General features: G+C 40.0%; 1 long non-coding RNA gene and 1 pseudogene across 2 annotated transcripts in view, besides 1 other annotated feature; one reads left to right on the top strand and one right to left on the bottom strand.

The window, feature by feature from the left end:
* LINC03003 (long intergenic non-protein coding RNA 3003) overlaps positions 1-18,155 on the bottom strand; it is a 66,468-nt gene that overhangs the window by 25,718 nt on the left and 22,595 nt on the right. Inside the window, exon 2 of one of the 2 annotated variants that reach the window (NR_134629.1) lies at positions 662-891. The exons of the other annotated variant lie outside the window; for it this stretch is intronic. This is a non-coding gene — a long non-coding RNA (long intergenic non-protein coding RNA 3003). The remainder of the gene's footprint in view (positions 1-661; positions 892-18,155) is intronic. 2 annotated transcript variants of the gene reach the window in all.
* Positions 644-2,064, top strand: OR2U1P (olfactory receptor family 2 subfamily U member 1 pseudogene; annotated as a pseudogene).
* Positions 12,202-13,401: an enhancer, noted in NCBI's record as "CDK7 strongly-dependent group 2 enhancer chr6:29219099-29220298 (GRCh37/hg19 assembly coordinates)". NCBI's record gives its function as "activates an origin of replication core promoter dependent on BRD2, BRD4, P300/CBP, MED14 and CDK7 cofactors, with strong dependence on CDK7, by STARR-seq in HCT116 cells {active_cell/tissue: HCT116}" and the evidence as "EXISTENCE:reporter gene assay evidence [ECO:0000049][PMID:35650434]".

Here is an 18,155-nt window from a genome sequence, read left to right as displayed (position 1 = left end):
AGTTTCTCCAGGGAACACCTCCCACCTGGCTGTCTCAAGGGAGTTGGAAAGGAAAGGCAAATAATATTTGGAAATACAAGTTTTGAGATGAAAGAAAAAAGTTTGAATTTTAAAAATTTAAGGTCAGAAGATTTACATAGCAGAGTGAAGGTGGACAGCAGGATTAAAACTGTTCAGCTTAAATATTAGAAAAAAGGCATAAAAGGTATAAAACCTGCATTCTCTATGAACCCTTGGCTAAAGGAGGTGATAACTTGTAACAGATTTCTAACCCCTTCGTAATATCCTTTTTAATAAGGGGAGATCCATCCAGTTTTATTTAGCCATTTTGCTCATGATTCACCTTTGAGATTTTTGTAGATTTTTTTTTTTTTGCCTTGGTATAGAAATATACAATGTAATTGAGAATATAGACCTTGTAAGGCAAATTGCCCTGGGTATAAATTTTACACTTAGTTGGATAAACAGATAAAACATTAGAACAATGGTGAAATATAAAATACTTATATTTTCTTTCAATCCCATTATGTACTTTTCCTAGCTATATATACTGCTAATATTATATCTAAATATATTCATTATGGCTTCCAAAATGTTGACTATTTTTTAAATTTTCACAGCTGATATTCAGAAAATAGCAAAAATGATCAATGATAGTTACTTTGGTTGGCTTATGCTCCTTGGGTTCCCTGGGAAGCCTCAGCTGGAGATGATCATCTCTGGGGTTGTCTTTTTCTTCTATGCAATTTCTTTGATGGGAAATATGGTCCTTATCCTGCTGCCATTACTGGATAAACATCTCCAAACCCCCATATATTTCTTTCTTAGAAATCTGGCTATCTTGGATCTTTGTTACACCACAAATATAGTCCCACAGATGTTGGTCAATGCCTGGGGTAAAGACAAGAAAATCACTTTTGGTGGCTGTGCTTTTCAACTTTTCACTAATGTGACGCTATGCACGGTTGAATGTATGCTTCTGGCTGTGATGTCATATGACCCATTCAATGCTGTCTGCAAGCCTCTGGACTATATGACCATAATGAACCCCCAACTCTGTCAAGGCCTGGTGGCCATGACCTGGTTAATTGGTGTCACTAATTGCATGATACTTTCCCCCTGTCCTGTGAGTCTTCCTCGATGCGGAGACCACCACCTGGATCACTATTTTTGTGAAATATCTGCAATGGTCAAAATTGCATGTGGGGCTACCACAGTCATGGAGGAAACTGTAAGAGTTAAAGAAAGAAGAAAGAAACACGAAACGTGGCTGGCAGTTAAAGACAGGTTTTCCTTAATTAAAACCTGACAGCACTCCTGGCTGATTCCATATATTGGTTTTAGGGTGAGGGGGCTAAGAACATATATTGGTTTTAGGGTGAGGGGGCTTATTACAAGCTTGGAATGTTTATGTGTGTGGAGAAGTTTATGGCGGGGTTGGAATCTCTCTGGGAAGAGGGGAGGTTATCTTGGGGCAGACATCTTTCTGGCCTGGAGGGGGGTTATCTCTGGGCTAGCATCTTCCCAGCTTGAGAGGGCTTATCTAGAGGCTAGCATGACTCTGGTCGGGGAGGAGTTTGGAAGGTTTCTGGTTGGGATGTTATTTGTGGTTTATGGTCGTGCTGACCTTAGCCATTAGGCTGAGGCCCTTTGGATTAGGTGGTTTTTTATTAAAATGAACTATAGAATAAGGGGCTTGTCCAAGATGGTGATGCTCCTGCTCTGTCAGAAACCTTATTTGCATTGTGTTGTTGTTGTTGTTTTCATTTTCCTTGCATCACTTCTTCTCATTCTTGTGTCATATGGCTTCATTGCTATGGCTGTACTCAAGATCAAGTCTGCAGCAGGAAGACAAAAAGCATTTGGGACCTGTTTCTCCCATCTCATTGTGGTATCCATCTTCTATGGGACTGTTAGATATAGGTATATAGAGCCAGGAAACAGTCCATCTCAGGATGAGGGCAAACTTCTCCATATATTTTACTCCATTGTTACTCCCACCTTGAACCCATCCCACTAAGGAATAAGGAGTTCAAGTGGGCCATGAAAAGGCTTATTGGAAAAGAAAAAGGTTCTGGAGACACAATAGGTCACTAACATCTTTTTACAAGAAATTCCTGGCCGGGCACGGTGGCTAACGCCTGTAATCCCAGCACTGTGGGAGGCCGAGGCAGGGGGATCACAAGGTCAGGAGATCGAGACCCTCCTGGCTAACATGGTGAAACCCCATCTCTACTAAAAATACAAAAAATTCGCACCTGAAGTCCCAGCTACTCTGGAGGCTGAGGCAGGAGAATGGCGTGAACCCGGGAGGCGGAGCTTGCAGTGAGCCGCGATCGCTACACTGCACTCCAGCCTAGGCGACAGAGCGAGACTCCGAATCAAAAACAAACAAAAAAAAAAATAAAAAAAGAAATTCCCAATAAAGAAATTATCTTTGTCTAACCTTTAAATTATAGTCAACTTATTTTAGTAGTAGTCATCATCTGAAAAAGAAAATACCTAAAAATTTTGCTTGTATTTTAGTATCAATGTCCCTCATTGTCAAGGGTTCATTCTTTAAAAAATTAAAAATGTCTTTCAAAAACACTACTTATTATCTTGGATGATTCATCTACAGTTGTGGCAACAAAACAGGTTCCGTAAAGTCTAAGGGTTATGTCAACTGGGGTACGGGGGAGCATTTTATAAAGATTAAATTCAGATTATAATTTATATTATTTAATAATTTTAAATATAATTAAACTATTATACTATAACAAAAATTCATTAATTCATGTGTTAACTATGAGTTTTGGCTATAATTCACCATTCATCTGTTCCTATTAAGATTAAAACATTTTTGTTTAGATTCCAAATACTCCTGCCATCTCTACCTATTTTAAGACATATTAGGTTACTGGTCTAAAATATACTTCTATTTGTAGCTATTTGCTGCAGGAATCTGGACTTTCTCAAAATTTTGCTACTAAAATAAAATGTAGGACTAGATTGGATATGGATGTTGATATGGTTACAATGTTAATAAATCATTCTTAGTTTTAAATTTTTGTGTTCATTCAACAACTTCACTAATCTTTTTTATATAAGTTGGTAGTAAGTAAACATTTTGTATTCATTAATTCTTTTTATAAGGCCAGCATAAGCTAGACTTAAAAACATTACAAGGATTTACAAAAAAATAAAAAATGTTTATCAGTATCTTTCATAAACACAGTTGCAAACATCCCTAAATATTAACAAATCAAATATATAAAGGAGGTCCATTAAGAGAGGCAATGTGTGTGTGTGTGTAAGAACTATTCAGAATATAAAAAGAATTTCTACAAATCAGTAAGAAAAAACACAAACAATGTGATAGAACAATCACTTCACAAAAGAGGATAGCCATATGGCCAACACATGAAAATGTGCCCAACTTCACCAATCATCAGGGAAAATTATAACAACAAAGAGATACGGTTAAACACAAATACTGCTCCATAATAACATGGTCTATTAACAAAAAAAGATATGCAGTTTCTTACGATATAGATGAGAACTTTAAGAGTATGTTTGGGGGTGGATGTCAAGGAATATGAAATACAGAGCTTGAATGAACTGAATTTAATGACATGAGTGCTATCACCCAGAGCACAGGATACAAGCATTGGCTCAAACTCCTGAAAGTGTTATTGATCTTCTTTCACATTAGCTCACTGAAGCTTGAACTCAGAGATAGCCTATAGCTAATGAGGTTGAAAAGCTAGAATTTCCACAGTACCTTGTAAAATAAGGAATCAGTAGTCAATAGAGATTTTGTAATCTAATACAGTATGGCCATCTGCCCTCTGTACATAAGACCCTGTGCTATAAGATTGGAAGACATTTTCTTCCCTATAGCATTAAGAAATGGATCAGTGAGGAGGGCATCAGTGGTCTTAAAATGCTCTGTGGCATCTGAATTCTTTGGTGCAGAGCTGATGGTGGGGAATGAAACTGAAATTGGATTATATGGTCTTGAGAAAAATGATAATTCTGGAAAATTAAATGCCAGGAAGTGACACCATCATAGACAAAGTGGAAGTAGTTACTACAAGTAAGTCACATTGACTAGGGTATTGTGACCTACAGGGACCTGTAGTGATACACAGTTTATCAAACGGTACTTAAAAACACAATATTTGGGTAACCTACCACTGTATTGTGAATGTCTGTGTCCCCCAAAACATGTTAAAACCTAATCACCAGTGTGATGGTGTTAGCAGGTAGGCCCTTGGGAGGTGATTAAATCATGAGGGCACAGCCTTCTTGAATGGAATTCATGCCTTTATAGAAGAGGCCTCAGAGAGCTGCTTTGTCTCTTCCACCATGTGAAGACACAGTGAGAAGACACCATCTGTGAACCATAAAGGGGCCTTCACCAGACACCAATCTGCCAGAACCTTAATGTCAGACTTCCTAACTTCTAGAACTATGATAAGTAAATTTTTTTTGTTTATTAGCTACCCAGTTTATGGTATTTTGTTATAGCAACCCAAATGGACTAAGATACCTACTAAGATGTTAGCTGGAGTATATTAGCAGAAAAAATTCTAGGTGTGGAGACAGAAACATAACTTGAAACAATATAATAGGGATTCATGGCTTTTTACCCAGTTTCCATATTAAGCCAGTTTGCAGATTCAGATTTTCTCATCTGAGAGGTAGAATAATCCCTTTATGAATAGATCTGGCAATGAAGCAACATAATATTAAAGCTTTTTCCCTCAAGTCTTGTCTACAGAGACATTCCAGGCACTTAACTAGCTAATCATCCCTGAAGAAGGGGGTTATTAGATATTGTTGCTAGTCCCTGGTGATCTGGTTGCTTTGACGAATTCCTAGTGTCTGAAAATGAAAGACATTGGGTTGAGTTTTAGCTAGTTCACTTTCATTCTGAACAGTTAATTATTTTATTGTGTATTTCCTTGAAGAGAAAAAACTCTAAAAGTAATTTTGCTGTACGAACTACTATGAAATTTATCTGAAACGTTTTAATTGCTTCACATAGCATTGGGAGAAGTTAAAATCTAAAGTAACAGAATCTTTTGGGATAGGAACAAAGTGAGATCATCAATGCCAGTAATTCCATTCACTTCATAATGAGATCCCTTGGGCCCTGCCCTTCCCTCTGGTAAATAACTGCTTATGTGAAAATCTCCCTTGCTCCTCCTTTGACTTTAAACATCAAATATGAGTCTCTTATTCAGAATCCTTGAGAATTTTCCCATTATCCAGAAAGACAGATAGCAAGGACAAACACAACAACTCATCAATTTCTCAGAAAGTAGGAATGAACTGCCTGAAACATGAATAACTACAGATAAAAGCACAATCCAGCGTCAACATTCCCAATGTGTGCTCCATTTTTCCTTTCTCACACCTTTAGAATATAAAAGCCGTAATGCACATGATGCTTCAGAAAAATAAATGTCAAGTTGTATCTTAGTTTTAACTTGGAAGTTGAGGAGAAATGCAGTAAAAATATAGGAAACCAAAGCCCTTGAAAGTAATTTATAGTGAATTGTCTGCTTTCAAGAAGAATAACCAAACATCTGAGAAAAGAAAACTTCTCATCTTTTTATTTGAACTGATACGTTTTTTGTTAGAAGAAAAAATTTATGAGCAAACCATTAGTGAGAAAGTGAGTTTAGCAGTAAATAGCTAGTAGTAGAACTTACACAAACAAATTTAAGCCACAAAGAGTGCATTGATCTAGTAGACTCTAATAGGTTTTGTTTTCTTTTTTAATTTGACTAAGACAAGGATCTAAACCAAAATGCATATTTTTCAAGAATCTTTTTTTATTTTACTTTTTTAAATCACATCTATTTTTAACTCACTAAATTGTTTGACATATTGTAAGAAAATCATTTGGTAATGATTTTAATTTTGTGAGTATAATATTGTGCAGTCAGAAACTGCAGCAGCTGGAAAGTTTTAAGTTGTAGAATCAAAGCACCTCAGACAATGGTAGACACTGTATATGATAAAACACACATCCTTTAATCACATTAATGCTTTGGGAATTATATAAAAAGATATGTCCTTTACTATGTTGTTTGTCAAACCTAAGTAACAGAATCAAAATAAATTGCTTAATTATTTTCAAATTTTAAGTTATTTTGAATAATTCAAATTTTGTTACATATATAAAGAATATATTTATTAGAGTATAAAGTGAAAATTAAATATGTAACTCTTCTAACATGAGGCACATCACCCTCCAAAAACCAATAATGTCGCAGTAAGACAAATTATGCTGCATTATATCATTCAAATGAAATACGATATATTCAATGCTCTACCACTTTTAATTACGAATATAATTTGACCCTGTTTCTATATGAGTATATGCAAACTTGTGTAATTATGTTAAATGTATATAATATTCAGTTAACTAGCTCGTTCTTGATGATCATGTGTGCTGTTTCCAATTTTTTACATGAAAGTAATGTTTCACAAATATTTTAGGATGCATGCAGAATAAACTCCTAGAAATGAAATTAATCAAAGTTAGTTCAAAATATTTTTATGTACATTTTTATTGTGAAAGATAACAGCAAATTGTCTTACAAAAAGAATTTATCCTTCTCCACATAGATTATGAAACTGATCATTTTCTAAACATTTGCAACATGGTTGGTTCCTAACAGTCACTTAAATATAAGCCATTTCAGGACAAAAAAATGCCTCAACTTTTCAATTTCAACTTACTAATTAGAATAGGATTGAAATTATTTTCATATGTGTTTATTTCTTTTTTTCCAAAATGTCTTTTAGGATATTTGCCCATTTTTTGTAGAAACATTTTTAATTTTGGGGAAATAAAAAGTCAAAAGCTATTTTTATTAAGAAAAGCAGTATTTTTCTGCTATGTATATTAATGGTTTCGTTTGGGTCCTATCGAACCACGTGGTTTATCCATCATTGAATTTTCTATTAAAATTTATGATATATCCTTTTTCTCAAATTTTGTTTTGATAATATCTGAAAAATAATAACATGTTCATATTTTGATTTATAAATACTTTTAATCAGTTATGATTTTTAAAGAAATGTTCATAAATTATAATGGCACTTCCATAATGGTGGTGTGGCTCATTGCCCTGTAAAACAACCATGACTGATACAATTTTTTTAATTCCAAGTCTCTGAAAATTGTCTTAAGAGAAAACAACAAATGAAGTAATACTTATTCAAGATACTCTACTAAATCTCACTAAGAAGAGCAAGAGTCTATGGCACTTGAGCCACAGCCTGCTTTCCTACCCAGCTCAGTGTGATGGAAGCTCCACTCTGGACAGGTGTGGCCAAGAAGAAAAGGATTCCTTTCCCCTCAGCTCCCAGTCAAGGAATATAGTATCTCACTGAGAGGGGCAGAATGCCAGCATTTCTTATCACTTTCACTTCTGAGTTGTCAAGGCTACATTCCCAGAGATCTAAACAAAAGACTGGGGCTACCTTCCTGCACTCCATACATAAGGTGGATACCCTATGCCAAGCATGTTGAGCCAAGAATACTGGAACTCTTATCACCTTTGCCCTAGCTCACTCATAAACAGAGGTCCAACACTGGGAGAGGCAAGCAAAGAAAAGTAAAAGCTACCACTCTTCAGTGCACTGCCCTTGGAACAGTGGCATAGAAGGTTTTGTCTAGGGACAGGGGAAGAACAGAACATTCAAAAGCTCTGTCCAAAGAAACTGACTGTATTTGAAGCAGAGTGTTGAAAGTTCAAGCCTAAGGGTACATTAAAAAACAATGAATATTTGGTGCTAAGGAGTTAAGACAAGGCTGAGACTCTATGAGACAACAAGCTAGGCCATAAAACAGTGAGTTTACCAGTGACAACCAGGGAAAGAGCTTTTCTGGGGTCAGAACAAATCTCAAAAAGTGACCTCAAGAACTACCCCTGCAAAATTAGATCACACTGTGGAGCAATTTATGTCCCCAGGGCATTATCAAAACCAATAGAGCACCCAGCCAGCAATTAATGGATCCTCCCAGCTGAGTATAATACCAAATGACGAAGACTGGTTAACAAAAATCAGCAAATGACATTGCAAAGACAAGACATCCAAAGCCCTGCTCAAACTATTCTCATCCCAGGTTGTTTATGTCCATGCCCAAGGCTGTGCTCTCTGAAGGGTAACACCAGAGGCTTCACACTGTGGAGGAAATTTACTAAAATAGCCTGGCCAAGTCACTAACAAACAAAAAATAAAACAAGACCCAGGACGGGGAGTCAGTATACAAAGTTACTACAATGTCTAGTTTTAATTTAGTAACATTATATTACTCAAATGTCTAGTTTTCAACAAAAAAACTATGAGACTTGTAAAAAAATAGGAAAGCATGACTGATACACAAGTAAACGAGCAGACAATAGAAACTGCCAGTGAGAGGCCCCAAATGTCAGATTTATCATAGATCAAAACAACCAATATAAATATGTTCAAGGAAATAAAATCATGCTTAAAGAAGTAAAAGAAGGTATGATAAGAGTGTCTCATCAAATAGAGACTACTAAAAAGGGAGATAAAGTATTTTAAAAATGAAACAAATGGAAACTTTAGAGTTGAAAAGCACAGTGAAAACTTCACTAGAGGAGCTCAACAGTAGATTTGAACTGATGGAAGAAAGAATCAGTGAACTTGAAGATAGGCTGATAGAGATTATGCAATCTGAGCAACAAGAAAAAAATAAAATGAACAGATCCTCAGACAAGTATGGAATACCACTGATGACACCAAAGTACACATAATGGAAGTATCAAAGGAGCAGAGAGAAGCAAGTTAAAAAAATATTCAAAGAATTAATTGCTGAAACATTAAAGTTGATGAAAAAAATTATATATCTAAAAAGCTCCTTTCTCTAAATAGGATTAATGTAAAAATATTCACATTCAGTTGCATCATAATAGGAACACTAAAAGCTAGAGTCAAAGAGACAGTTTTGAAAGCAGCAAGAGGAAAATGACTCATCATGTACAAGAGAACCTCAGTAAGATTATCATCTGACTTCTCATCAGAAATACTGGAGACTAGAAGGCAGTGGGGATGACAGCCAAAGTTCTAAAAGAACGTTGAACCAAGAGTCTTATATCCAGGAAAACTATCCCTCAAAAATGAACCACATTTATTTTTTTTTCTGAGACGAAGTCTCACTCTGTCACCAGGCTGGAGTGCAGTGGCGCAATCTTGGCTCACTGCAACCTCTGCCTCCCAGGTTCAAGTGATTCTCCTGCCTCCGCCTCCAAAGTAGCTGGGACTACAGGTGCGCACCACCACTCCCAGCTAATTTTTTAATTTTTAGTAGTTGGGTTTCATTATGTTGCCCAGGATGGTCTCGATCTCTTGACCTCCTGATCTGCCCGCCTCGGCCTCCCAAAGTGCTGGGATTACAGGCGTGAGCCACCACACCCAGCCAACCACATTTTTTAAATCCAGTCCACCATTGATGGCAATCTAAGTTGATTCCATGTCTTTGCTATTGTGAATAGTGCTACAGTTAACATATACATGCATATGTCTTTATGGCTAAATGATTTATATTCCTTTGGATATATAAGTAATGGGATTGCTGAGTCAAATAGTAGTTATGTTTTAAGTTTTTTGAGAAATCTCCGACTGCTTTTCACAGTGGCTGAACTAATTTACATTCCCACCAGTAGTGTATAAGCATTCCCTTTTCTTTGCTTGTTGATTTAAGTTCTTTATAGATTCTGGATATTAGACTTTTGTCAGATATACTTTGCAAATATTTTCTCCCATCCTATAGGTTGTCTGCATATCCTGTTGATAGTTTCTTTTGCTGTGCAGAAGCTCTTTAGTTTAATTAGGTCATACTTGTGAATTTTTGTTTTGTTGCAATTGCTTTTGGAGTCTTCATTATAAAGTATTTGTCAGGGCCGATGTACAGAATGGCATTTCCTAGGTTTTCTTCTAGGATTTTTACACTTTTAGGTTCTACAGTTTAGTCTTTAACCCATCTTGAGTTGATTTTTGTATATAGTGAAAAGTAGTTGTCCAGCTTCGATATTCTGATTATGGCCGTCCAGTTTTTTCAGCGCCATTTACTGAATACAGAGTCATTCCCCATTGCTTATTATTGTTGGCTTTGTCAAAGATCAGATTACTGTAAGTGTGAGGCTTTATTCCTGGGTTCTCTAACTGATTCCATTGATCTATGAGTCTGTTTTTGTACCAGTACCATGTTGTTTTAATTATGGTAGCCTTGCAGTATAGCTTGAAGTCAGGTAATGTGATGCCTCCAGCTTTGTTTTGTGTGTGTGTGTGTGTGTGTGTGTGTTTGGTTTTGTGTTTTTTGTTTGTTTGTTTTTGCTTAGGGTTGCTTTGACTATTCAGGCTTTTTTGTTGTTGCTGTTTGATATAAATTTTAGAATCATTTTTTTTCTAATTCTGTGAAAAATGTTATTGGTAGATTGCTAGTGTGAACCCAGAAAGTCTGAGACAGGTCTCCATTAATTTAGAAAGTTTATTTTGCCAAGGTTGAGGAAGCACTTGTGACAGCCTCAGGAAGTCCTGATGACATGTGCCCAAGGTGGTCAGGGCACAGCTTGGTTTTACACATTTTAGGGAGACATGAGACATCAATCTATATATGTAAGAAGTACAGTGGTTTGGTCTGGAAAGGTGGGACAACTTGAAGCAAAGGAAAGAAGACTCAAAGCAGAGAGGGAGCTCCCAGGTTACACTAGGTGATACACAAACGATTACATTCTTTTGAGTTTCTGATTAGCCTTTCCAAAGGAGGTAATTAGATATGATTCTCTCTCACTGAGCAGAGGGTTGACTTTGAATAGAATGGGAGGCAGGTTTGCCCTAAGCGGTTTCCAGCTTGAGTTTTCCTTAGTGATTTGGGGGGCTCAAGACATTTTCCTTTCACACTAGTAGTACCATTGAATCTGTAAATTGCTTTGGGCAGTATGCCCATTTAACAATACTGATTCTTCCTATCCATGAGCATGAAAAGCTGTTCCATATGTTTATGTTATCTCTGGTTTTCAGCAGTGTTTTTTAATTCTCATTGCAGAGATCTTTCACTTCCCTGGTTAGCTGTATTCCTAGGTATTTCATTCTTTCTGTGGCTATGGTAAATGGATTGCATTTTTATTTGGCTTTCAGCTTGGATGTTATTGGTGTATATAAATGCTACTAATAGTTGCACATTCATTGTGTATTCTGAAACTTTTCTGAAATCGTTTATCAGATCTAGGAGCCTTTTGGCAGAGAGTGGAGTTTTCTAGGTATATAATCATATCATCTCTGAAGAGAGATCGTTTGACTTTCCCTCTTCCTATTTGGATGACTTTTATTTCTTTCTCTTGCCTGATTTATTTCTCTTGCCTGATTGCTCTGGCTAGGACTTCCAGTACTATTTGGAATAGGAGTAATGAGAGGGGACATCCTTGTCTTGTTCTGGTTCTCAAGGGGAATAATTCCAGCTCTTGCCCATGTAGTATGATGTTGGCTGCAGGTTTGTCATACATAGCTCTCAATATTTTGAGGAATGTTTCTTCAATGTCTGGTGTGTTGAGGGTTTTTAACATGAAGGGATGTTGAATTTCATCAAAAGCCATTTCTGTCTGTTGAGATTATCACATGGTTTTTGCTTTTAGTTCTGTTTATGTAGTGAATCACATTTATTGATGTGTGGGTGATGAACCAACCTCGCATCCCAGAAATAAAGCCTACTTGATTGTGGTGGATTAAGTTTTTGATATGCTGCTGGATCCAGTTTGCTAGCATTTTGCTGAGGATTTTTGCACCCATGTTCATCAAGCATATTGGCCTAAAATTTTTTTTTTGTTGTGCCTCTGCTAGGCTTTGGTATCAGAGTGATGCTGGCCTCATAAGATGAGTTAGGGAGTGTAAGGCCTCTGAGACCAAGCTAAGCCATCATATCCCCTGTGACCTGCACATATACATCCAGATGGCCTGAAGCAACTGAAGAACTACAAAAGAAGTGAAAATAGCCAGTTGCTGCCTTAACTTATGACATTCCACCATTGTGATTTGTTCCTGCCCCACCCTAACTGATCAATTGACCCTGTGACATTCCTTTTCCCGGACAATGAATCTCAGGAGCTCCCCATTGAGCACCTTGCGACTGCTGCACCTGCATGCAAGAGAACAACCCCCTTTAACTATAATTTTCCACTACCTACCCAAATCCTATAAAACTGCCCCACCCCTATCTCCCTTTGCTGACTTCTGTTTTGGACTCATTCTGCCTATGCCCAGGTGATTAAGAAGCTTTATTGCTCACACAAAGCCTGTCTGGTGGTCTCTTCACGTGGACACACATAACATTTGGTGCCGAAGACCTGGGACAGGGGGACTGCTCCAGGAGACTAGCCCCCTGTCCTCACCCTCACTCCGTGAGGAAATCCACCTACAACCTCAGGTCCTCAGACCAGCCCAAGGAACATCTCACCAATTTCAAATCAGGTAAGCAGTCTCTTCACTCTTCTCCAGCTTCTCTCGCTACCCTTCAATCTCCCTGTTCTTCCAATTCCAGTTCTTTTTCCTCTCTAGTGGAAACAAAGGAGACACATTTTATCCGTGAACTCAAAAACTCCGACGTCGGTCACGGATATGGGAAGATGGTCTTCCCTCGGTGTCTGATCATAGCGGGGATGCCTGCCTTGATCATTCATCTACATTCCATTGGTGTCTGATCACCACAGGGATGCCTGCCTTGATCATTCACCCACATTCCATTGGTGTCTGATCACTGCTGGGACGCCAGCCTTGATCATTCAATCATTCACCCACATTCCACTGGTGTCTGATCACCATGAGGATGCCTGCCTTGGTCATTCACCCACATTCCCTTGGTGACAAGTCAGTTGTGGGGACACCTGCTTTGGCTGCTCACCCACATTACAGCCCACGGCTACTCACCCCCACCTTCTCTGTGTCTCTACTTTTCTCTTTAAACTTACCTCCTTCACTATGGGCAACCTTCTGCCCTCCATTCCCCTTTCTTCTCCCTTAGCCTGTGTTCTTAAAAACCTAAAACCCCTTCGACTAACACCTGACCTAAAACCTAAACATCTTATTTTCTTCTGTAATACCACTTGGCCCCAATACACACTCAACAATAGTTTCAAGTGGCCAGAGAATGGCACTTTTGATTTGTCTATCCTACAAGATCTAGATAATTTTTGTTGTAAAATGGGCAAATGGTCTGAGGTGCCTGATGTCCAGGCATTCTTTACACATCGGTCCCTCCCTAGTCTCTGCTCCCATTGCAACTCGTGCCAAATATTTCTTCTTTCTCTCCTATGTGTTCCTTCAGTCTCCACCCCAAGCTCTGAGTCCTTTGAATCCTCTTTTTCTACAGATCCATCTGACCTTGCCCCTCCTCCCCAGGCTGCTCCTCACCAGGCCGAGCCAGGTCCCAATTCTTCCTCAACCTCCACTCTCCCACCCTATAATGCTTCTATCACCTCACCTCTTCACACCCAGTCTGGCTTACAGTTTCTTTCTGTAAGTAGCTCTCCCCGACCTGCCCAACAATTTCATTTTAGAGAGGTGGCCGGAGCTGAAGGCATAGTCAAGATTAATGCTCCTTTTTTCTTTATCTGACCTCTCCCAAATTGGTTAGCGTTTAGGCTCTTTTTCATCAAATATAAAAACCCAGCCCAGTCCGTGGCTGGTTTGGCAACAACCCTTAGATGCTTTACCGCCCTAGACCCAGAGGGACCAGAAGGCCATCTTATTCTCAATATGTATTTTATTACCCAATCCACTCCCAACATTAGAAAAAGCTCCAAAAATTAGATTCCGCCCTCAAACCCCACAACAGGACTTAATTAACCTTGCCTTCAAGGTGTACAATAATAGAGAAGAGGCAGCCAAGCGGCAATGTATTTCTGGATTGCAATTACTTGCCTCCGCTCTGAGAGAAACCCCAGCCACATCTCCAGCACACAAGAACTTCAAAACGCCTAAACCACAGTGGCCAGGCATTCCTCCAGGACCTCCTCCCCCAGGATCTTGCTTCAAGTGCCGGAAATCTGGCCACTGGGCCAAGGAATGCCCGCAGCCCAGGATTCCTCCTAAGCCGTGTCCTATCTGTGCAGGTCCCCACTCGAAATCGGACTGTCCAGCTTGCCCAAAAGCCACTCCCAGAGCCCCTGGAACTCTGCCCCAAGGCTCTCTGACTGACTCCTTCCCAGATCTTCTTGGCTTAGTGGCTGAAGACTGATGCTGCCTGATTGCCTCAGAAGCCTCCTGGACCATCACAGACACTTCAGGTAACTTACAGTGGAGGTAAGTCCCTTCTTAATTGATACGGAGGCTACCCACTCCACATTACCTTCTTTACAAAGGCCTGTTTCCCTTGCCTCCATAACTGTTGTGGGTATTGATGGTCAGGCTTCTAAACCTCTTAAAACTCCCCCACTCTGGTGCCAACTTGGACAACATTCTTTTATACACTCCTTTTTAGTTATCCCCACCTGCCCAGCTCCCTTATTAGGTCAAGACATTTTAACTAAACTATCTGCTTCTCTGACTATTCCTGGGCTACAGCCACACCTCATTGCCACCCTTTTCCCCAGTTCAAAGTCTCCTTCACATCCTCCCCTTATGTCTCCCTACCTTAATCCACACGTATGGGATACCTCTACTCCTACTTTGGCAACCGATCATGCACCCCTTATCATCCCATTAAAACCTAATCACCCTTACCCTGCTCAACGCCAATATCCCATCCCACAGCAGGCTTTAAAAGGGTTAAAGCCTGTTATAACTCACCTGTTACAACATGGCCTCTTAAAGCCTACAAATTCTCCTTACAACTCCCCTATCCTACCCCTCCAGAAACTGGACAAGTCTTACAGGTTGGTTCAGGATCTTCACCTTGTTAATCAAATTGTCCTTCCCATCCATCCTATAGTGCCAAACCTGTACACCCTCCTATCTTCAATACCCCTTTCCACAACTCACTATTCTGTTATCGACCTCAAAGATGCTTTCTTTACTATCCCCTTGCATCCCTCCTCCCAGCCTCTTTTTGCCTTTACTTGGACTGACCCTGACACCCACTAATCCCAACAACTCACCTGGACTGTTCTGCCCCAAGGCTTCAGGGACAGCCCACACTACTTTGGCCAGGCCCCTTCTCATGATCTGCTTTCTTCTTCCCCATCTGCCTCTCACCTTATTCAATATTTTGATGATCTCCTTTGCAGCCCCTCTTACTAATCTTCCCAGCAGGACACTATCCTGCTTCTTCAACATCTCTACTGAAAGGGGTACCAAGTATCCCCCTCCAAGGCACAAATTTCTTCTCCTAGTGTTACCTATCTCAGTATAATCCTCCATCAACATACATGTGCCCTTCCTGCAGACCGTATTCAGTTAATCTCCCAGACCCCAATCCCCACCACCAAACAACTCCTTTCCTTCTTAGGCATTGTTGGATATTTCCAACTCTGGATACCAGGCTTTGCTATTCTAACCAAAACCACTTTACAAGCTCACAAAGGATAACTTAACTAATCCCATAGATCCTAAGTCTTTTCCCCATTCTTCCTTTCACTTTCTCAAAAAGGTCCTGGAGACAGCTCCTACACTTGCACTCCCCAACTCGTCCCATCCCTTTTCCTTACACACAGCGGAAATACAAGTCTGTGCTGCCGGAGTCCTCACACAGGAGCCAGGCTCACAACCTGTTGCCTTTCTATCAAAGAAACTTGACCTCACAGTTCTGGGCTGGCTCTGCATGGGGCGGCAGGCACTGCTTTAATACTTCTAGAGGCCTTCAAAATCACAGGCTATGCTCCACTTACCCTTTACAGTTCTCACAACCTTCAAGCATTAATATCCTCCCCATACCTTTCACATTTATTGTCTGCCCCTCAACTCCTCCAGCTCTATTCACTCTTTGTTAAAACTCCAACAGTAACTATTATCCATAGGCCTGATTTCAACCCACTTTCTCACTTAGCACCCAGCACAAGTCCTGAACCACCTGACTGTATTTCCCTAATAAACATAGCATCCTCCCCCGTCCTCATATTCCTATTCTGCCAATTCCAAACACAGACCACACTTGGTTTATTGATGGCAGTTCTTCTAAACCCAATCAATTTTCACCAGCTAAAGCTAGATATGTTGTCGTGTCCCACACCGCTACTATTGAAGCTGCTGCACTTCCCTCCACCACTTCCGAATAAGCTGAACTGATTGCTTTAACTACCGCATTCTCTCACTAAAGGAATGCACATTGACATTTATACTGACTCCAGATATGCTTTCTATATCCTCCATAACCATGCTGCCTTCTGGGCTGAAAGAGGCTTCCTTACCACACAAGGCTCTTCCATTATCAATGCCTCCCTAACAAAGGCCCTCCTTAAGGTTGCTTTCCTGCCAGCCAAGGCTGGAGTCATTCATTATAAAGGGCACCAGAAACCTACTGATCTTATTGCAAAAGGAAATGCCTATGCCAACAGGACGGCAAAAGAAATAGCTGATGCCTCCACATCCACTAATATTCCAGCCCTCACTCCAGAGGTCCAGTATTTCTCCTTCTCCTCCAACACTCCCACCTACTTTTCTGAAAACCTGCTCTACCAGTCTTTTCCAACTCAAGGCAAGTGGTTCTTATAAATCATGGAAAATTCATTCTTCCTGCCTCACAAGCTCAGTCCATTCTTTCTTCCCTTCATGACCACTTCCATGTGGGATACAAGCCTGTGGCTTGATTCCTGCAGCTCCTCATCTCCTTCTCTTCATGGAAGTCCATCCTTAAGACCATAACCTCTCAATCCTCTGTCTGCCATGCCACCAGCCCCCAAGGCTTTCTCAGGCCTCCTCCTTTTCCTGAGCATCAGGCTTGTGGATTTACTTCAACTCATGATTGGCAGTTAGACTTTACTCATATGCCCCATGTCCGTAAATTTAAGTATCTCCTGGTTTGGATCGACACCTTCACCGGATGGCTCGAGGACTTTCCCACTAGTTCCAAAAAGCCTATTGCAGTCATTTCTTCCCTTCTAACAGATATAATTCCCTGATTTGGCCTCCCTACTTCTATTCAATCTGACAATGGTCCAGCTTTTATTAGTCAAATCACCCAAGCTGTCTCTCAGGTTCTTGGTATTCAGTGGAAACTTCATACCCCTTACTGTCCTCAATCTTCAGGAAAGGTAAAATGGACTAATGCTCTTTAAAAAACACACCTCACCAAGCTCAGCCTCTAACTTAAAAAGGACTGGACAGTACTTCTACCACTTGCCTTTCTCAGAATTAGAGCCTGCCCTCGAGATGCTACAGGGTACAGTCCATTTGAACTTTTATATAGACACACTTTCTTGCTCAGCCCCAATCTTATTCCAGACACCAGCCCTCTGGGCAACTATCTTCCAGTCCTCCAGCAGGCTAGACAGGAAATTCGCCAGGCTGCTAATCTTCTCTTGCCTACTCCAGATTCCCAGCCATATGAAGACACCCTAGCTGGATGATCGGTTCTTGTTAAGAGTCTGACCCCTCAAACTCTACAGCCTCGATGGAACGGACCCTACCTAGTCATCTATAGCACCCCAACTTCCGTCCATCTACAGGAATCTCCCCATTGAGTTCACCATTACAGAATAAAGCTGTGTCCATTGGACAGCCAGCCAGATCTCTCCTCTTCCTCCTGGAAGTTGCGAGTACTCTCCCCTACTTCCCTTAAAACTCATTCGCATTTCTAAAGAACAGTAATAACCCTTATAAGCCTAACACATCCTTTCATTTTTATTAGGTCTGTTCTTCCTTGCCTTACTCTCTACAACAGGGTTTTATGCAGTCACACCCGCCCCCACTTCTTGGACTGCAACTCACAAGCTTTTTCATCCCTGCTATTTTCCAATTCACCATTCTCACCTACTCATAAATGCCCTGCTCTTGTTTACACTGCCAGTTTCCACTTTTCCTCCAAACCATCACAGCTGATATCTCATGGTGCTATCCCCAAACTGCCACTCTCGACTCCCTCTTGGAGTGGATAGATGATCTTTGCTGGCAGGGCACACTCCAATATTTTCTGCCTCCACTATTGCTCTTGGAACTGGAATAGCAGGCAATTCAACCTCTGCCACAACCTTCTGTAG

The sequence above is a fragment of the Homo sapiens genome, chromosome 6, assembly GCF_000001405.40.
Source record: "Homo sapiens chromosome 6, GRCh38.p14 Primary Assembly".
NCBI lineage: Eukaryota > Metazoa > Chordata > Mammalia > Primates > Hominidae > Homo > Homo sapiens.
This window is presented reverse-complemented; position numbering and strand designations above follow the sequence as displayed.